The 21,234-nt window shown below is 46.1% G+C and overlaps 1 protein-coding gene across 4 annotated transcripts in view, besides 2 other annotated features; it reads right to left on the bottom strand.

Annotated features, from left to right (window-relative positions):
* SAE1 (SUMO1 activating enzyme subunit 1) overlaps positions 1 to 21,234 on the bottom strand; it is a 79,802-nt gene that overhangs the window by 54,868 nt on the left and 3,700 nt on the right. For all 4 annotated transcript variants that reach the window (NR_027280.2, NM_005500.3, NM_001145714.2 and 1 more), the window contains exons 2-5: positions 12,164 to 12,275; positions 5,394 to 5,567; positions 2,729 to 2,871; positions 556 to 655 (exon numbers count right to left, since the gene is read on the bottom strand). Coding sequence is in view for 3 of the 4 variants with exons in the window: in NM_005500.3 (NP_005491.1) it covers positions 556 to 655; positions 2,729 to 2,871; positions 5,394 to 5,567; positions 12,164 to 12,275 (529 nt within the window). In the remaining variant the exon portion in view is untranslated. The remainder of the gene's footprint in view (positions 1 to 555; positions 656 to 2,728; positions 2,872 to 5,393; positions 5,568 to 12,163; positions 12,276 to 21,234) is intronic.
* Positions 18,902 to 19,671: an enhancer, noted in NCBI's record as "H3K27ac-H3K4me1 hESC enhancer chr19:47639355-47640124 (GRCh37/hg19 assembly coordinates)". NCBI's record gives its function as "activates a minimal SCP1, AML or CMV promoter by ChIP-STARR-seq in naive H9 embryonic stem cells {active_cell/tissue: H9 hESC(naive)}" and the evidence as "EXISTENCE:reporter gene assay evidence [ECO:0000049][PMID:30033119]".
* Positions 19,672 to 20,442: an enhancer, noted in NCBI's record as "H3K27ac-H3K4me1 hESC enhancer chr19:47638584-47639354 (GRCh37/hg19 assembly coordinates)". NCBI's record gives its function as "activates a minimal SCP1, AML or CMV promoter by ChIP-STARR-seq in primed H9 embryonic stem cells {active_cell/tissue: H9 hESC(primed)}" and the evidence as "EXISTENCE:reporter gene assay evidence [ECO:0000049][PMID:30033119]".

Genomic DNA, 21,234 nt, shown 5'->3' with positions numbered 1-21,234 from the left:
TCAAAAAAAAAAAAAAAAAGGGTATGGGGCCGGGCATGGTGGCTCACGCCTGTAATCCCAGCACTTTGGGAGGCTGAGGCGGGTGGATCACCTGAGGTCAGGAGTTCGAGACCAGCCTGGCCAACATGGTGAAACCCCGTCTCTACTAAAAATACAAAAAAAAATTAGCCAGGGGTGCTACTTGGGAGGATGAGGCAGGAGAATTGCTTGAACCCAGGAGGTGGAGGCTGTAGTGAGCCGAGATCATGCCATTGCACTCCAGCCTGAGCGACAAGAAAAAATTCCATCTCACACACACAAAAAAAAAAGTTTGGGACAGAGCCTACAAAAGTTTGCATTTCTCATTGTCTTGAAAAATCCCATCTGGAATCACTGGGCCCACATTCCCTCACAGCAACAGCTGGCTGACACTAAGCTGTGGCAGCCTCCCTTTAGATGGGACAAGCACCCGCCCCACCCCTTCAAGAAGTGCTTGCTCTTATCCTTTTCAATCGTCATTGCCTGACCCCTCCAAGGCCCCAGGGTTTCTGACCTCTGCCCCCACGTTACACATACCTTTTTGACCATCGTTGTCTCAGAAGAATCAAGTTTTGCTCTCTTGGTGTCGGGCCCATCTTCTACTCCTTGGCTAACTTTGGCAACTTTAGTTTTCTCCCTAGAGGGTGACAAGGGGAGAGAATGTAATTTTACCCTAGGAATCATGTTATTGGAATCAAAAAAAGCCTCTCCAGGTCACAGATCGGGATGGTGGTTAAGGGCAAAAGCTTTGGAGTCAGATCTCGGTTCAAATCGAGCTCTGCCATTGATAACATGATGAGTCTGGTACACTGTTGGGCACTCAGGAAATTATTGTGGGAAAAACAGAGCAGCGTAAGTTGCTCAGCACACTGCTGGGCACACAGCTGCTCTCAATAAATCAAAGTGATTACTTTGTAAACACTCTACTTGAATCATGAAATAAATAGCCAAACTTGGCTGGGTGCAGTGGCTCACGCCTGTAATCCCAGCACTGTGGGAGGCCAAGGCGGGCGTGTCACCTGAGGTCAAGGGTTTGAGACCATCCTGGCCAACATAGCAAAACCCCGTCTCTACTAAAAATACAAAAAACTAGCCGGGCGTGGTGGTGGGCGCCTGTAATCCCAGCTACTTGGGAGGCTGAGGCAGGAGAATTGGTTGACCCCAGGAGGAGGAGGTTGCAATGAGCTGAGATCACGCCACTGTACTCCAGCCTGGGCAACTGAGTGAAAGTCTGTCTCAGAAAAAAAAAAAAAAAAAAAAAAAAAAAAAAGCCAAACTTAATTCTGCCCCTCTGCTGTGGGCAGCTTATGTTAAAATAATCTGGATTGCTTCCCACTACTATAACTTCTTTATAATATACCCAAAGAAGCCAGGCATGGTGGCTGTAATCCTAGTACTTTGTGAAGCTGAGGTGGGTGGACCACCTGAGGTCAGGAGTTCAAGACCAGCATAGCCAACATAGTGAAACCCCGTCTCTGCTAAAAATACAAAAATTTGCCGGGCATGGTGGCGGGTGCCTGCAGTCCCAGCTACTCAGGAAGCTGAAGCAGGAGAACCACTTGAATCCAGGAGGTGGAGGTTGCAGTGAGCCAAGATCGTGCCATGGCACTCCAGCCTGGGTGACAAAAGCAAAACTCCGTCTCAAAAATAATAATAATAGCCGGGTGCGGTGGCTCACGCCTGTGTAATCCCAGCACTTTGGGAGGCCGAGGTGGGTGGATCACCTGAGGTCCGGAGTTCAAGACCAGCCTGACCAACATGGAAAAACCCTGTCTCTACTAAAAATACAAAATTAGCCAGGCATGGTGACGCATGCCTGTAATCTCAGCTACTCCGGAGGCTGAGGCAGGAGAATGGCTTGAACCCAGGAGGCAGAGATTGTTCTGAACTGAGATGGTGCCATTGCACTCCAGCCTGGGCAACAACAGCAAAACTCCGTCTCAAAAAATAAAATAATAATAATAATAATATGCCCAAAGAACTAGATTATCCTAAAGCCATAAAACACTAGAGTTAGGAGATGTCTGGAACATGACTGTCCTTCCCCCATCTTGATTTTACAGGCAAGAAACTTGGAGACCAGAGAAATTTCAGTGACTTGCCTGAGAGGCTGAACAAGAGAAGAGTTCTCAGTCTCTTGGTAGGAAGCTCCTATCTCACAGAGCCTGTCTTTCCCTCTCAATTAGCAAGTTGGAGGGTTTTGGAGGGGGTGGTCAGAAACTGCAGCCAAAATACCTAACTCATATAGTTTTACAATAATGTATCATCTGCCATCTTTCACCTAGAGACTACAAAGTCAAAACACGGCAAGTCCTGTCATGTAAGAATTACCAAGTTCTGCAGCCTCAGTGTTCAAAATGAGAGGATGAGGTCTGTTTGTTCTACCAGAGGAGTCTCTCTGGATATTGGACACCTTTTCCAAGGTAGACTTTGGTTGAATATGCCTCCAGAATCGCCCAACTATTTTGTAATCATTTTACTATCTCTCAACTTGAAAACATGTCAGCAGACCAGGCGCAGTGGATCATGCCTATAATCCCAGCACTTTGGGAGGCCAAGGTGGGAGGATCACTTGAGCCCAGGAGTTCAAGACCAGCTTGAACAACATAGCATAGATCCTGTCTCTACACATAAATAAATACATAATTTAAAAAAAAAAAGTATAAAAAGGAGAAAATGTTATGTTCTCCCCTCCTCTCCCAACACTTACTCTACAAACTCATGCTCTCCTAGATTGGCAAATGTGTATCCATGGTAGCCAAAAACATCTCCTGTAAAGAACTTGATGCTATTTTTGTGACAGATCTGGTCAACTTTAACTATGACATCCCTGGAGCAGCAAGTCAGACACACCTGCAGAAAGAAAGAAATTGGCTGGGTTTGAGTTTTGCAAACTGTGAATCACTGCCCTGATGTCTAAATAAATCTTAATGAACAGTCTCTCTGGGCATGCTCAAAGCATGTTTCAAACTGGTACAACAGGTTCTTTGGGCCCTATGGCTAGAAGACAAAAGAAAAGTTGCAGGTTTCAATGTGTAGAAAATATAAGTTATGAGACCGTCACGTTCTGCAGCCAAAATAAAATGTGTTTAGCTAAAAAGTAAAAGCCATTCAACAAATGTTTTCTGTAATCCACGAACATATACACATTTCATAGTTCTCATAAAAAAAATAACTTAGCAAGTTGTTTCTATACTGCTAAATCTATTAAAATCCAAATAAGCTACAGGGACAAGCAAAACCAGTTTTTTAAATTGACCCAAAGGTCATGTTTAAATACAAGGGCTTTTTACCCCCCTCCTTTTGATTGATATGTTAAGATAAAGAAGATAAACAAGTCCTGTTGAGATCATTTTTCCACAGATTGCGGTGTGAAACTTTATCTGAATTTAAGGACAAAAGAAAAGGTTACAGACCAAGTGACCTTCCATTCAGGCTTAGACAATGAACTGGTGATCCACTCAGTGGAATTATCAGTGTTGCTCTGGGGCCTCCAGGTTGTATTCCAGTAAGTTGAGGTATTGGAAATGGCTAAGTTCTACTGCACAAAATACCATCTTTTCGGGAGAAGCTTTGTGATCATGGTCAAAAGACAACTTCCAAATTGCACATGCTTTCTCCTGAACAAAAGGACATTTTCACTTGATAGACCCTCTTTGCTGTTGTCTAGCAGCCTGAATACCGAAATAACACTCACAGAGAAATGTGTTCCTTTGGTGTTTCAAAGAATGCAGCCACCCAAGGAAAAATCCCATCTAAAAAGTAAGAAATCCACAGGTGAACATGCAACCAATTGATCAAATGGAACCCTGCAGAGTCTAAAGTAACTATAAAACCTGCAAGGACCAGCCAAACACGGCCTGCAAGGCGGTCAACATGGCCCCATGCACACGCATTACACAATCAACTGGCCTCACACTTCAGTTTTAACAAACCCTCTAACTCTACAAGTTCAAGGGACACCTGGCATAAAATAAATGTGGTTACTACAGATAAGAAAATGAAGACTTATGTCCAAATGGAAAGTGTCCCAATACCTCAAGTTAAAAAATAGAAGGGACTAGGAAAAAGAAAACAGGACAAATGCACAGATGATCCATCCTTCCAAGCCCATATTTGAACAGATGCACATATGAAATAGAAAAGTGTAAAAACGGGAGGCTGAGGCAGAAAACTGCTTAAACCAGGGAGGCGGAGGTTGCAGTGAGCCAAGATCATGCCACTGCACTCCAGCCTGGGCGACAGAGTGAGACTCCATCTCAAAAAAGAAAGAAAGAAAGAAAGAAAAGTGTAAAAAACAGGCCAGGTGCAGTGGCTCACACCTGTAATCCCACCACTTTGGGAGGCCGAGGCAGGTGGATTACCTGAGGTCAGGGGTTCAAGACCAGCCTGACCAACATGGTGAAACCCCATCTCTACTAAAAATACAAAAAATTAGCCCAGCATGGTGGTGAGTGCCTGTAATCCTAGCTACTTGGGAGGCTGAGGCAGGAGAATCACTTGAACCCAGGAGGCAGAGGTTGCCATGAGCCAAGATCGCACAATTGCACTCCAGCCTGGGCGACAAGAGCAAAACTCCATCTCAAATAAAAAAAGGTGCAAAAAAAAAAAACTACCCAACCCAAATTCTAACCTCTCATGTAACATACTGGGGCCTTTCATTTAAAAAACTAGTAGCTCATCTATGACTATTTCACATTTATCAAGATTTGTTAAGCTTTTCCAGAATGCAGGGAACTATGTCTGAAAGGTTGCAGATATTGACAAAGAATTTATCCTTTCACCTCCGCATAGATTTGGCAGTGAAACTAAATGAGGCTGGATATGCCTCATTTGACTTACGACTACAGTGATTTTTCTCTAGTTATCCATGGCAACATGGTCAATGTGACTGTGAGAAACAGACAGACAGACATAGATCAAGATCAGGTGTGCTTTTCTTAAGACAAAACACAAGCTGTAGTTTGATATTTCTAACAAAAAAATGCCGCTGCCACAGAAATTAATCACCAACTTGTTAAGTTTTCGGAAGAAAACATTTGCAATAACATGGATTAAAGTTATGTGCAAAGATTCTGGAAGGAAGACAAAACACCAAAGACGAAACCTGGCTGAGGGAACATATGCCCAGAGAAGAAGCCAGCAGACAGCAAGTCACCAACAACTACAGCAGATGCAACAGACTGGACCTCTCTAGCAACACATTCACACAATATACTAAGCCTAAACAATAGAACAGCTTATACATTTTCTTGGGAAAAAGCTCAGAATTTGATATTTGAATGCTCTCAGATTGCTTTGGGATTTGAAAGTATATACAACTAGCACCTTAATTTGTTTAATTCCCACAGCAGATTTTATAATAAGAAACTTACAGCATCGAATTGAGTGAAAAATGACTCTGGTTTCTTCTCTATATCCTCAGTGTCCACCTTCACATCCACCATGGGGTTGAGATTCTGAGCTCGCTCCAAAGAGGCTTCAGCCCTATTTCGGCCAACAGACCCAGTACGAATCAAGAACTGAGCTCCGGGATCTTCTGGAGTTACCTAGGAATAATACACATATTTTTTTAAGTCTTGTATTTTTAGGGAAAATAAATCTTAAAAAGAATCTTTAAATTTTAAAGGATAGCTAAAATACCTACCACCTAAATTTTTTTTTTTTTTTTTTTTTGAGACAGTCTTGCTCTGTCACCAGGCTGGAGTGCAGTGGCATGATCTCGGCTCATTGCAACCTCCGCCTCCTGGGTTCAAATGATTCTCCTCCTGCCTCAGCCTCCCAAGTAGCTGGGACTACAAGCACGCACCACCACAACAGCTAATTTTTGTATTTTTAGTAGAGACAGGGTTTCACCACGTTTGCCAGGATGGTCTCAATCTCTTGACCTCGTGATCCGCCTGCCTCAGCCTCCCAAAGTGCTGAGATTACAGGCATGAAACACTGTGCACAGCCCTAAAATGTATTACTGTTCCTGTAGCAATTTGCCTTATGCAGGCTTCCTTCTAAGGCTTTAAAATGACTTTAAACTTTTTTTAAACTGGTCATTGATGGTTAAAGAGCACCCCCTTGTGTTTATAAAGAAAATTCACTGTCAACAAAAAAATCCATGCTTTCTTCTTCTATGCAAATTTGTAACTGCTAACAAATGACTGATTAACAGTGGCAAGAATTGACTAAATACTTAGCATGTGCCCAACTATAAGCATTTGGGGAAATACACAAGTAGTTTAAAGGATTAAATCTCTGTCTTCCAGTGGTTTAAAACTAGACCAGTGTGGGCAGGGCACGGTGGCTCACACCTGTAATCCCAGCACTTTGGGAGGCCGAGGCAGGAGGATCACCTGAGGTCAGGAGTTTGAGACCAACCTGGCCAACATGGTGAAATGCCATCTCTACTAAAAATACAAAAATAAGCCAGGTGTGGTGGTGTGTGCCTGTAATCCCAGCTACCCAGGAGGCTGAGGCAGGAGAATCACTTCAACAGGGGAGGCGGAGGTTGCAGTGAGCTGCGATTGCACCACTGTACTCCAGCCTGGGCAACAGAGCAAGACTCCGTCTCAAAAAAAAAAAAAAAAAAAAAAAAAGTAGACCAGTGCAGCCTGGCACAGTAGCTCACATCTGTAATCCCAGCAATTTGGGACGCCAAAGCAGGAGGATCACTGCTTGAGGCCAGGAGCTCAAGACTAGCCTGGACAACACAGAGAGGCCCTCTCTCAAAAAACAACAAAAATTGCAACCTCATGAGAAAACTTAAAAAAAAAATCAAACTTGTGCAAAAATCAGACACAATTAAGAATGCTTGAAATGAACTTTTAAAAAACATAGATAGACTATGGCCAGGTGCGGTGGCTCACGCTTGTAATCCCAGCACTTTGGGAGGCCGAGGCAGGCAGATCACCTGAGGTCCAGAGTTCAAAACCAGCCTGACCAACATGGTGAAACCCCATCTCTACTAAAAATACAAAATTAGCCGGACGTGGTGGCACACGCCTGTAATTCCAGCTACTCGGGAGGCTGAGGCAGGAGAATCGCTTGAACCTGGGAGGCAGACGCTGCATTGAGCCCAGGTCGTGCCACTGCACTCCAGCCTGGGCAACAGAGTGAGACTCTGTCTCAAAAAAAAAAAAAAAGAACTCAGAGAGGTGGAGAGATGAGTGGGGACTGGAACAGAGGAATTATTTCACCCCTAAGGCTGAACATCAGCAGAGCAGAGCCTCAAAGACAGGATAATATAATCCCCTAATAGCCACCAGTAAGATTACAGATTCCATACTGCTCTCAAAGTATTTCTTCACACATCAAACATCTAATTTAACCATTAATCTCTGCAAATAACCTTGCCACCTTCACCAAGACTAGGTACAACAGAAGTAATCTCCCCTCAACACCTCCTACCAACCATCCACAGCACACTCTCTATCTTACTACCTTCTCCTCCAAGAAAATGAGCTGGCCCACTTCCCATTCTAGGCTAACCCTGTATCCTTGACCCATTCCATCCTGCTTCTTCAGGGATCTCATTATGTGCTGAGAAGCTGTACCACACAATGGTTAACAGTAAGGCTCTGAAATAATTCAGGCTGGATTCAATCTTTGATTCAAATCCTGGCTCAACAACTGTGTGAACCTCAGCAAGAATGTGGGAATCCCATATAAAACGAGGACATGGATAAAAACGTACAGTTGAGGGCCACGCGTGGTGGCTCACGCCTGTAATCCCAGCACTTTGGGAGGCCAAGGCAGGCAGATCACGAGGTCAGGAGATCGAGACCATCCTGGCTAATACGGTGAAACCCCATCTCTACTAAAAAATACAAAAAAATTAGCCAGGCGTGGTGGTGGGCGCCTGTAGTCCCAGCTACTAGGGAGGCTGAGGCAGGAGAATGGTGTGAACCCGGGAGGCAGAGCTTGCAGTGAGCCAAGATCGCGCCACTGCACTCCAGCCTGGGCAACAGAGCGAGACTCTGTCTCAAAAAAAAAAAAAAATACAGTTGAGGCTGGGCACGGTGGCTCACACCTGTAAACCCAGCAGCTTGGGAGGCTGAGGTGGGTGGATCACTTGAGGTCAGAAGTTCGAGACCAGCCTAGCCAACATGGTGAAACCCCATCTCTACTAAAAATACAAAAATTAGCCGGGTGTGGTGGCACACGCCTGTAATCCTAGCTACTTGGGAGGCTGAGACAGGAGAATCACTTGAACCCAGGAGGCGGAGGTTGCAGTGAGCCAAGATCTCACCACTGCACTCCGGCCTGGGCGACAAGTGAGACTCCATCTCAAAAAAACAAACAAAAAAAACATATAATTGAGCCCAGAAAGTTCAAGACCAGCCTGAGCAACAATCATGAAACCCAGTCTCTACAAAAAATACAAAAAATTAGCCAGGTGTGGTGGCGTGCACCTGTAGTCCCAACTACTGGGAGGCTTAAGTGGGAGAATACCCTGAGCCCAGGAAGTTAAGGCTACAGTGAGCCATGATCATGCCCACTGCATTCCGGCAAGGGTAACAGTGAGACTGCCTCAAAAAAAAAAAAAAAAAAAAAAAAAAAACCCATACACATACAATTATCATTTCATCACTATCAGTCCACAGATCACACCTTCCTTGCTTTGCTCTCCTCTCGTGCTACACATTCTAGTCTCAATTTGGGCCCTCTTAGGTGTGGCTGTCCCCAAGCTTCCATCTCAGAATTACTTATCTTTCCACTCTGTATAGCTCCATAAACCAACTCAATGCCTCTTTCAGTTTCTACCAAAATCTGCTGTTATTTTTCAAATCACTCTTTCTGGTGCAGATTTCTTCCTGATCCACCTGAGTCTTCTCTACTGTACTGCCCACCAGCCGTTTTCTCTCAGATATCCATAAACCCTACATGTCTGCCTGCTTCTGTGTGCTGTCTCCGGAGTCCACCAGCCACCCACCCAGTCACTCAAGCCAGAAGCCTCATCTTCATATCCTTGCTATTTCCATGAGAGTGGTCCATAGTGAGGTGGCTGAGAACATGGGCTCTGGAGTCAGATGCCTGGGTCCCGGCCGTACCACTAACTACTGGGGCCTTGGATGGGCCAGTACTTTTCTTCCTTTTACTCAGTTTTCCCATCTGTAAAACAGGGATGGTAATGGGTCCTTGATCTCAGATGTGTTGTGAGGACTCAATGAGATAATACAACTGCAGCTCTGAGAACAGTGCCTAGCCCCTTCAGTGTCAGCTGCTCTGGTTATTCCTGGCTTTCCTTAAGCTCCCATACACAGACCTCCCAATTCTACCACCTAAATCTATTTCTCACATCTGTGTGCTTCCTGCCATCCCTATCAGCAAGGCCACTTTCACCTCTCACCTAAACTACTAAAAACTGCCTTCTAAGTGGTCTTCTGCCCTGTATTTTGTGCCAACCATAGTTTATACAGTAATTACTGATCTACACATAAAGCCCAAAGCTAACCATGTCACCCTTCCTGTCATTTGAAACTCTTCAGTGAGTCTGCACCACCCAGAGGATTAAGTAAAAGCTTACAGTGGGGCTTCCTAGGAGCCCCTCCTGACTTGGACTTCACCAGCAACCTGTCCCTACCCACCACTTTGGGTCTCACACTCTAAAAACACCAAACTACTTTTAGCTTCCATTTCTACCACACTGTAGGGTGCCTTTGTGACACTGCTATGTCCCCTGCCTAAAACACAGGCTCTTATCTTGACAACCCTCCTTGTTCTTTAAGACTTAGCTCAGATCAGGACTCCAGGAAATCTTTCATGTACCACAACCTCAGTCAGGGAGCCTGCTATGGTTTCCGGAAAAAAAAAAAAAAAAAAACCTTGAGAATGGGAACCAAACCGTGAGCATCTTTCTATCACCAGCACCTAGCAGACTTCAGGGCACCCAGTAGGTGCTCTCAGATGCTTGTTGAATGTAAACTACATAATACGCTCTAAGATGGGTGCAGTGGCCTCACACCTGTGGTGTCAGAATCGCACTGTTCTGTGATTGGCCTCCAATGTTGGATTCTTACAACCAGATGAAGTAATTATGTAATCCCAGCTACTAGGGAAGCTGAGGCAGGAGAAGTGCTTGAACCCGGGAGGCAGAGGTTGCAGTGAGCTGAGGTTGTGTCACTGTACTCCAGCCTGGGCGACAGAGTAAGTCTTTGTCTCAAAATAAATAAATAAAATAAATAAAATGTCACTGAGGCATGGGAATGTAGAGAGAGCAGCACTTATTTTCACCTTGAAGATGAGCCTGGTCAGAGAAAGCTACATTGGAGTTGGGCTCTACCATTATAATATTAATCAAACAGCATTATGTCAGCAGGGGATGGTAGCTCACACCTGTAATCACCGCACTTTGGGAGGCCGAGGCCAGCGGATCACCTGAGGTCAGGAGTTCGAGACCAACCTGGCCAATATGGTGAAACCCCATCTCTACTAAAAATAACAAAACTTAGCCAGGCATGGCCGGGTGCGGTGGCTCACGCCTGCAATCCCAGCACTTTGGGAGGCCGAGGTGGGAGGATCACCTGAGGTCGGAGTTCAAGACCAGCTTGACCAACATGGAGAAACCCGGTCTCTACTAAAAACGTTAAATTAGCCAGGCATGGTGTTGCATGCCTGTAATCCCAGCTACTCGGGAGATTGAGGCAGGAGAATTGCTTGAACCTGGGAGGCAGAGGTTGCAGTGAGCCAAGATCACGCCATTGCACTCCAGCCTGGGCAACAAGAGCTAAACTCCGTCTCAAAAAAAAAACAAAACAAAACTTAGCCAGGCGTGGTGGTGCGTGCCTGTAATCCCAGCTACTTCAGAGGCTGAGGCAGGAGAATCACTTGAGCCCGGGAAGCGGAGGTTGCAGTGTGCGGAGATTGCGCCATTGCACTCCAGTCTGGGCATCACAGCAAGACTCGTCTCGCAAAAACACACAAACAAACAAACAGCATGTCAGATCATTATTCCTAATTACTGGATACTTGTTAGGTTCAAGCACTATACAAAGCAGTCTGCCCACATTCTCTCTGATCCAGTGTTGTTTGTTTTTGTTTGTTTTTGTTGTTGTTGTTGTTGAAACGGAGTCTCACTCTGTTGCCAAGGCTGGAGTGCAGTGGCATGATCTCGGCTCGTTGCAAGCTCCGCCTCCCAGGTTCACGCCATTCTCTTGCCTCAGCCTCCCGAGTAGCTGGGACCACAGGCGCCCGCCACCAAGCCCTGCTAATTTTTTGTGTCTTTAGTAGTGATGGGGTTTCACCGTGCTAGCCAGGATGGTCTCGATCTCCTGACCTCATGATCTGCCCGCCTCAGCCTCCCAAAGTGCTGGGATTACAGGCATGAGCCACTGTGCCTGGCCTGATCCAGTGTTTTTTAAAGTGATGTCTGTGGACCATCTAAATCATAATCTCCTGAAACACCTTTCATTAATTTATTTCTTTTTAAGGCAAAGTCTCACTCTGTTGCCCAGGCTGGAGTGCAGTGGTGCCATCTCAGCTCACTGCAAACTCCACCTCCCAGATTCAAGCGATTCTTGTGCCTCAGCCTCCCGAGTAGCTGGGATTACAGGTGCACACCAACATGCCTGGCTAATTTTTGTATACTGAGTACAGACAGAGTTTTGCCATGTTGGCCAGGCTAGTCTCAAACTCCTGACCTCAGATGATCCGCCTGCCTCAGCCTTCCAAAGTGTTGGGATTACAGGCATGAGCCACTGCGTCCAGCCCTAAAACACCTTTTAAATGCACATACTCCTGAGCTCGCCTCAGACCTAAATGAGAATCACTAGGGGTGAAAGCTAGGGCACCACGAAGCCTCCAGGCCACTCTGCATTTTCAGTTAGTCACTCAGGTCATTTTTAGGCACAAATTGGAAAAACACTTCTCTACACCTCCTCACAAGCAACCACCAAGGGAGATATTACTAACCCCATTTTACAGGCAGGCAAGCTCAATGAGGGGGTGTGAGTCTCTACTGCTCATCCAGCTAGATGTGGTGGAGCTAGAATTCAAACCCAACAATAGCACCTTCAGTCTCCAGAGGCAATGGTTTATTAATGTTAGCCCTCCTTTCACAGCCCTTAAGGCACAAGGAGGAACTCACAAAATCTGCAGATCTTCATGCTGGAAAGGGGAGCCAGAGCAGGGGAGGAATGAGCTCACAACAGCGCACCTGTTCGTGATCCAGCATGGTCAGTCCTTTCACTCCTGCCAAGATGAGATTCTTGGCAATTTCAGCCCCAAGTCCTTTCAAGCCGACAAGAAGCACCCGAGAGGCCCGCAGCCTGTAAGACAAACATTGTTAACCTGATGATACAGAACAGTGAGCTTGCAGAATCACAGAAGAACAAAAAATACACAAATCATTTTGGTTTGCCAGGCACGGTGGCTCATGCCTGTAATCCCAGCACTTTAGGAGGCTGAGATAGGCGGATCACTTGAGGTCAGGAGTTCGAGACCAGCCTGACCAACACGGTGAAACCCCGTCTCTACTAAAATACAAAAACTAGCTGGGCGTAGTGGCAGGCGCCTGTAATCTCAGCTACTTGGGAGGCTGAGGCAGGAGAATCACTTGAAACCATGAGGCGGAGGTTGCAGTGAGCCGAGATCATGCCACTGCACTTCAACTTGGGCAACAAGAGTGAGACTCCGTCTCAAAAAAAAAAAAATCATTTTGGTTCTAACTGCATTGAGGCATCACACCTCGAATCTAGGAAAGAGACAGGCTCTAATCCATACTGCACAAAACAATTCATTCAACAAATATTTATTGAGTACCAACTATGCCAGGCATCCTTCTATGGTGTGGAAATAAGGCGGTGAATCAGACATAGTCCCTGCCCTCATGAAAAAGTAGGAGACAGATAAACAAATAGATACATAATATGTGAAAAAGTGATGAAAATCAAGTGTGACAAGAATCAAGAATGATGGAGAACGCTATTTGAGACAGAAATCATACAAGCCTTTCTGAGGAGATGCCATATGAGCAAAAATCAAAATGAAATAAAGGACAAACACACAGATATTTGGCAGCAGAACATTCCAGATAGAGAAAACAGCAAATGCAAAAGCCCTGAAGCAGGAGTGCTTGGCATGTTCTAGGGACAGGAATGACAGAGAGGCTGAAAAGTTGGAACAAGGGGCCACATCATGAAGGCTCTTACATGCAATGGAAGGATTCTGGATTTTCTTCGAGGCATGATGGAAAGCCATGGGGGTAGGAAGATGTCACAGTTAAGGTGAGGGAGGATGATGGTGGCTCAAACTAGCATGACAGCAGAAGAGGTGCTGAGAAGAGGCACTAGTTAAGTATAACACACAAGCAAAACACATGGTGGCATGAAAAGAGCATGTACACAGGAATTGCTTTTACCTTTTTTTTTTTTTTTTTAAAGACAGAGTCTCGCTCTGTTGCCCAGGCTGGAGTGCAGTGGCGTGATCTCAGCTCACTACAACCTCCGCCTCCCAGGTCCAAGCAATTCTCCTGCCTCAGCCTCCCGAGTAGCTGGGATTACAGGCGCCTACTGTCACGCCTGGCTAGTTTTTGTATTTTTGGTACAGACGGAGTTTCACCATGTTGTTCAGGCTGGTCTCGAACCCCTGACCTCAAGTGATCCACCTGCCTCAGCCTCCCAAAGTGCTGGGATTACAGGCATGAGCCACCGTGCCCAGCCTTGTTTTTAGCTTTTTAAATCTGTAAAGTGACAGAAGATGAGGCTGAAAAAAGGCAATCAGAGGTCAGGCCATCCCAAGACTTCTCTGAGGTCAGTAGGAAGCAGAATAGGTCAACTATATCTTATCTGAAATCTCTTGAACCAGAAGTATTTCAGAGTCACAATTTTTTCAGATTTCAAAAAGGAAATACAGACTTTACATCATGTATTATGAAACAACTCATCAAGATCTTGGGCTGCATCATGTAACCAAACTCATTAATAATTCTGCAGCAAATGTATTATTCATACTGAAAAGGATTTAGTAATAACTAAGAATAATTTTCACACAATTTAAGTTCTGCTGGTAAGAGTTTGCTATTAATTTAATTAAAAATTAAATAAAATTTAATCACAACATTCCACCCTCGCAAAATGCACCATTTCTTCCTCTCAATGCCTACCTACGCCTTTCCCCTTCAAAACCCAACTCCAATGCCATTTCCTCAAAAAAAGGCTTTTTTATCATGGCTGAGTCAATACCAGCAAGCACTCCCCCTCCCCGAACTCTTCCAGCAACAGCTACATATAAAAAGTCCCTGACAATAAATCTGCTCTCCACGACCTACATTCCTACATAGCTCTACAGACTGCTCTGCAGTTGTTTAAAATTCATTATTCAGCCGGGCCCGGTGACTCATGCCTGTAATCCCAGCACTTTGGGAGGCTGAGATGGGTGGATCACCTGAGGTCAGGAGTTCGAGACCAGCCTGTCCAACATGGTGAAACACCCTCTCTACTAAAAATACAAAAAAAATTATGGCCAGGCGTGGGGGCTCACGCCTGTAATCCCAGCACTTTGGGAGGCCAAGGCGGGCAGATCACTTGAGTCCAGGGGTTCGAGACCAGCCTGGCTAACATGGCAAAACCGTGTCTCTACAGAAAATACAAAAATTAGCCAGGCGTGGTGGCAGGCGCCTGTAGTCCCAGTTACTCGGGACAGTGAGGCAGGAGAATCACTCAAACCTGGGAGGCGGAGGTTGCAGTAAGCGGAGATCATGCCAGTCTGGGTGACACAGCGAGACTCTGTTTAAAAAAAAAAAATTAGCTGGGCATGTTGGTGGCGGGCACCTGTAATCCTAGCTATTTGGGAGGCTGAGGCAGGAGAATCGCTTGAACCTGAGAGGCAGAGGTTTCAATGAGCCAAGACTGTGCCGCTGCACTCCATCCCAGGTGACAGACTCCGTCTCAAAAAAAATTAAATTAAATTAAATTAAATACTCAACTGCCATCAACACCAAATACCATGTTTACGTTTTGTTTTATTGAAACAGGGTCTCATTCTGTGAACCCAGATTGAAGGGCAGTGGCAAGATCAGGGCTCGCTGCAGCCTCAACCTCCCAGGTTCAAGTGATCCCGCCACCTCGGCCTATTGAGTCCTGGGACTATAGGTGCACACCACTGCACCTGGCTGATTTATGGGTTTTTTTTTTTTTTTGTAGACACAGGGTCTCACTATGTTGCCCAGGCTCATCTCCAGCTCCTGGGCTCAAGCAATCTTCCTGCCTCTGCCTCCCTCAAAGTGCTGGGTTTACAAATCCCATCACTTTGGGAGGCCAAGGTGGGTAGATCACCTGAAGTCAGGAGTTCGAGACCAGCCTGGCCAACATGGTGAAACCCCATCTCTACTAAAATTACAAAAATTAGCCGGGCGTGGGCTGGGCACGGTGGCTCACACCTGTAATCCCAGCACTTTGGGAGGCCGAGACAGGCAGATCACGAGGTCAGAAGACCGAGACCATCCTGGCTAACAAGGTGAAACCCTATCTCTACTAAAAATATAAAAAATTAGCTGGGCATGGTGGCGGGCGCCTGTAGTCCCAGCTACTCGGGAGGCTAAGGCAAGAGAATGGCGTGAACCCGGGAGGTGGAGTTTGCAGTGAGCCGAGATGGCGCCACTGCATTCCATCCTGGGCAACAGAACAAGGGTCTGTTTCAAAAAGAAAAAAAAAAAAAATTAGCCGGGAGTGGTGGCAGGCGCCTGTAATCTCAGCTACTCGGGAAGCTGAGGCAGGAGAATCGCTTGAACCCGGGAGGCGGAGGTTGCAGTGAGCCGAGACCGCACCATTGCACTTCAGCCTGGACGAAAGAGCGAGACTCCGTCTCAAAAAAAAAAAAAAAAAAAGAAATACCCAAGTGGGCACAAAAATGATACACATTCAGCAGGGCACGGTGCCTCACGCCTATAATCCCAACACTTTGGGAGGCCAAGGCGGGCAGATCACGAGGTCAGGAGATTGAGATCATCCTGGCTAACATGGTAAAACCCCGTTTCTACTAAAAATACAAAAAAAAAAAAAAAAAAATTGGCCGGGAGTGGTGGCGGGTGCCTGTAGTCCCAGCTACTCGGGAGGCTGAGACAGGAGAATGGTGTGAACCCGGAAGGTGTAGCTTGCAGTGAGCCGAGATCGCGCCACTGCACTCCAGCCTGGGTGACAAGAGTGAGACTCTGTCTCAAAAAAAAAAAAAAAAAAAGATACACATTCACAGCAGCATTGTCCATCTACTTCCCTCAAGTTCCACAAACACCACTCTAGTCTGAGCCACCATCGTTTCTCTCCGACAAAACTACAGCAGGCTGGACGCAGTGGGTCACACCTGTAATCCCAGCACTTTAGGAGGGCAAGGCATGAGGATCACTTGAGCCCATGAGTTCGAAACCAGCCTGGGCAACAAAGTAAGACTCCATCTGTACAAAACAAAAAAAAATTAGCTGGGTGTGCCAGGCGCGGCGACTCACGCCTGTAATCCCAGCACTTTGGGAGGCCAAGGTGGGAGGACCATGAGTTCAGGAGATGGAGACCATCGTGGCTAACACGGTGAAACCCCGTCTCTACTAAAAATACACAAAATTAGCCGAGGCGGTCGGATCACTTGAGGTCAGGAGTTCGAGACCAGCCTGGCCAATATGGTGAAACTCCATCTCTACTCAAAATACAAAAATTAGCCAGGCGTGGTGGCACGTGCCTGTAGTCCCAGCTACTCGGGAGGCTGATCCTAGAGAACATCATCCTTGCTCCCATCCTTGCTCCCACCTTAGGACCTTGGCATTAGTGCTTCCCATTGCTTCTTCCCTCAACTTCTTAAGGGACACATTCTTTAGGTCTCAGCTCAATTGTCACCTCCTTAGAGAAGTCCATACTGGCCACCTAATTTAAAATAGGTCCACATCCTCTTCTATCTCGAATTATGCTACTTGTTTTTGTTTTGATTAAGATGGGGTCTGTGTTGCCCACTGTTTTGATTGAAATGGGGCCTCACTAAGTTGCCCAAGCTAGTCTCAATTGCCTGGCTCAAGTGATCCTCCAACCTCAGCCTCCCCAGTAGCTGGGATCACAGCCACACACCACTGTGCTAAGCTACACTACTTGTTTATATGTTTACTGCCCCCTCCTCCATTAGAATGTAAACTCCAGAAACCACTGTATCACTAGAACCAGTAACTTCCTTGGCATTTAGGACATACTGTTACTCAAATGGCTGTGAATTAATAGACACACCAAAACAAACCTGTGTCCATCAGCAGAATTATAGAAATCTGGTACATAATAAAATAATAATGGCCAACATTTATCTAACACTTACTATGTGCCAAGCACTGTTCTACTAAGCTCTTTGTATGTATTATGTCATTTAATTCCCATGACAATCTAATGGGCTGGCACTTTGTTACCCCTCTTTTGCAGCTGAGAAAACAGGCACAAAGAAGGTAACTTCTGGCCAGGCGCAGTGGCTCATGCCTGTAATCCCAGCACTTAAGGAGGCTGAGGCGGGTAGATCACCTGAGGTCAGGAGTTCAAGACCACCCTGGCCAACATGGCGAAACCTGGTCTCTACTAAAAATACAAACATTAGCTGGGCGCGGTAGCAGGCGCCTGTAATCCCAGCTACTTAGGAGGCTGAGGCAGGAGAATTGCCTGAACCCGGGAGGCAGAGGTTGCAGTGAGTCTAGATCACGCCATTGCACTCCAGCCTGGGCAACAAGAGAGAAATTCCGTCTCAAAAAAATAAAAAAATAAAATACACACACATAGGCCGGGTGTAGTGGCTCACGCCTGTAATCCCAGCACTTTGGGAGGCCGAGGTGGGCAGATCACTTGAAGTGAGGAGTTTGAGACCAGCCTGGCCAACATGGTAAAACCCCGTCTCTACTAAAAATATAAAAATCAGCCAGGTGTGGTGGCACGCGCCTGTAATCCGAGCTACTCCAGAGGCTAAGGCAGGAGAATCGCTTGAACTCAGGAGGCGGAGGTTGCAGTGAGCCAAGATTGTGCCACTGCACTCCAGCCTGGGCGACAGAGTGAGAGTCCATCACAAAAAAAAAAAAAAAACAACACACACACACACACACACACACAATCAGCTGAGTGTTACGGCATACGCCATGCACACACAAAATTAGCTGAGTGATATGGCATACGCCTGTGGTCCCAGCTACTTGGGGGCTGAGGCGGGAGAATCCCTTGAACCCGGGAGGTGGAGGTTGCAGTGAGCTGAAGATCACGTCACTGCGTCACTGCACTCCAGCCTGGGTAACAGAGCGAGAAAAAAAAATTTTAGTTGTAATTGTCAACTATCAATAAAAACTCCAGAAACTTGGCCTCAATTTAAGCAACCAAATCTGCTCTAGGAAGCTGCTTCTTTACTTTATTTTATTTTATTTATTTATTTTTGAGACAGAGTTTCGCTCTTGTCACCCAGGCTGGAGTGCGATAGTGTGACCTTGGCTCACTAAAACCTCTGCCTCCTGGATTCAAACAATTCTCCTGCCTCAGCCTCCCAAGTAGTTGGGATTACAAGCACCCACCACCACACCTGGCTAATTTTTTTTGTATTTTTAGTAGAGACGGTCACCATGTTGGCCAGGCTAGTCTCGAACTCCTGACCTCAGGTGATCCACCCACCTCGGCCTCTCAAAGTCCTGGGATTACAGGCTGAGTCACTGTGACGGCCTTTACTCTCTTTTAATCCACAACAGTCCCTTCACTTATTTTTCCCATGAAACTGACTTTTGGAAGAGAAGTAGGATAACTGTCTTATAAAATGCCCCACAATTTGTACATTTTATCAGCCTGCCCATTTCCAGGGCTTCTGTTTCATAAAGGAACTCCAGTCTCCAGAGTTCTCCTATCCCACCTAGAACCCTCCTATCCCACCTAGAGCCCTCTTAGAGGCAAGTCAATTTGCTCTGTGGAGCCTCCTTCCTCATCTGAACAGAGAAGGAAATCACTGCCCTTCCGACTCCAGAGAGCTGCTATAAGACTCAGGTGAAGGCCGGGGGCTGTGGCTCATGCCTGTAATCCCAGCACTTTGGGAGGCCAAGGCGGGCGGATCACCTGAGGTCAGGAGTTCACAGCCTGACCAACATGGAGGAATCCCGTCTCTACTAAAATACAAAATTAGCCGGGCATGGTGGCACACGCCTGTAATCCCAGCTACTTGGGAGGCTGAACCAGAAGAATTGCTTGAACCTGGGAGGCAAGGGTTGCGGTGAGCTGAGATCACGCCACCATACTCCAGTCTGGGTAACAAGAGCGAAACTCCGTCTCAAAAAAAAAAAAAAAAAAGACTCGGGTAAAAATGCAATCCCACTGCTAGGTATATACCCAAATGAAAATAAATCAGGCTGGGTGTGGTGGCTCACGCCTGTAATTGCAACACTTTGGGGGGCCAAGGAGGGCCAATCACCTGAAGCCAGGAGTTTGAGACCAGCCTGGCCAACACAGCAACCCCATCTCTACTAAAAAATACAAAGATTAGCCGGGCGTGGTGGCAGGTGCCTGTAATCTCAGCTACTTGGGAGGCTTAGGCAGGAGAATCGCTTGAACCTGGGAGGTGGAGATTGTACTGGGCTGAGATCGTGCCACTGTCCTCTAGCCTGGGCAACAGAGCGAGGCTCGGTCTCAAAAGAAAAAAAACTGCAATAAATCCCATGTTTATTGCAGCACTCTTCACAATAGCCAAGATTTGAAAGCAACCCATATGTCTATCAACAGACAAATGGATAAAGAAATTGTGGTACACGAGGTCAGGAGATTGAGACCATCCTGGCCAACAAGGTGAAACCCCGTCTCTACTAAAAATACAGAAATTAGCCGGGCGTGGTGGCGGGCACCTGTAGTCCCAGCTACTAGGGAGGCTGAGGCAGGAGAATGGCGTGAACCTGGGAGGCGGAGCTTGCAGTGAACCAAGACTGCGCCACTGCACTCCAGCCTACTCCAGCCTAGGCGACACGGCGAGACTCCGTTTCAAAAAAAAAAATAGAAATTGTGGTACAAAGGCTGGGCATTGCTGTTCACGCCTCTAATCCCAGCACTTTGCAGGGAGGCAGGAGGATTATTTGAGCCCAGGAGTTGGAGACTAGCCTGGTGAAACCCCACCTGTACTAAAATATTAGCTGGGCTTGTGACACGTGCTATAGTCACAACTACCGGGAGGCTGAGGTGGGAGGATCACCTGAGCCCAAGAAGTCAAGGCTGAAGTGAGTTGTGATCACACCACTGCACTCTAGTCTGCGCGACAGAGAGACCCTGTCTACAAAAAAAAGGGAATGAGATCCTGTCATTTACAACAACAGGGAGGGCACTGGATGTTATTATGTTAAGTGAAATAAATCAGGCACAGAAAGAAAACTTTGCACGCTGTCACTTATTTGTGGGAACTAAAAAAATTAAAACAATTGAACTCATGCAGATAGTAGACTGAGGGTTACCAGAGGCTAGGAAGGGTAGTGGGGGGTGGAGGGGAAGGAGGGATGACTAATGGATACAAAAATATAATTAAATACAATGAATAAGATACAGTATTTGATAGCATAACAGGGTGACTACAGTCAACAATAATTTGTTGTACATTTCAAAGCAACTAAAAGAATATAATTGGATTGTTTGTAACACAAAGGATAAGTGCTTAAGGTGGTGGATACCCCATTTACCCTGATGTGATTATTACCCATTGTATGCCTGTATCAAAGTATCTCACATACCCCCAAAATGTATACACCTACTATGTACTCACACAAAAAAATTTTTAATTTCTAAAAACCTCGGCTGAAAATGGACAAAAAACACTTTAATAAACTCTCTAAGACTGTCTAAAAATAGAGTACAAATTACAAACAACCTCTTCCCTCCCTCCTGCAACCCCCAGCCAATCCTTTTCATGTTCTCCACCAAATTTGGTACAGCTCCACTCCCTCAGAATAATTCCTACCTCCCACAAATTCCATGCCCTGACCCTGACTTGTCCCTTAGGTCATCTCCCACTCAGAGGCCCCCATCCATTCTTCACTGCTTCTCAGAAAAATCATCCCCATCCCTCTGAAAGTTCCCTAACTACATTCCAGTTTAAACCTCACCAACTTTGCCCCACTTCAAACAAAGCTATCTGCTGCCGCAAACCCCTTCGATTAACCCTTCCAGTACCTTAGAATCCCCTCCCCAACCCTTTAGGATCTCAGAACACACCAAGCTTCCTCAAAGTTTCCTCCAACTCACATAAATCCTCTTTCCACTCCATCCAGAAAAT

This window comes from Homo sapiens, chromosome 19 (genome assembly GCF_000001405.40).
Source record: "Homo sapiens chromosome 19, GRCh38.p14 Primary Assembly".
In the NCBI taxonomy this organism is placed as follows: Eukaryota; Metazoa; Chordata; class Mammalia; order Primates; family Hominidae; genus Homo; species Homo sapiens.
The sequence above is the reverse complement of the archived record's forward strand: the minus strand, read 5'-3'. Positions and strand labels throughout refer to the sequence as shown.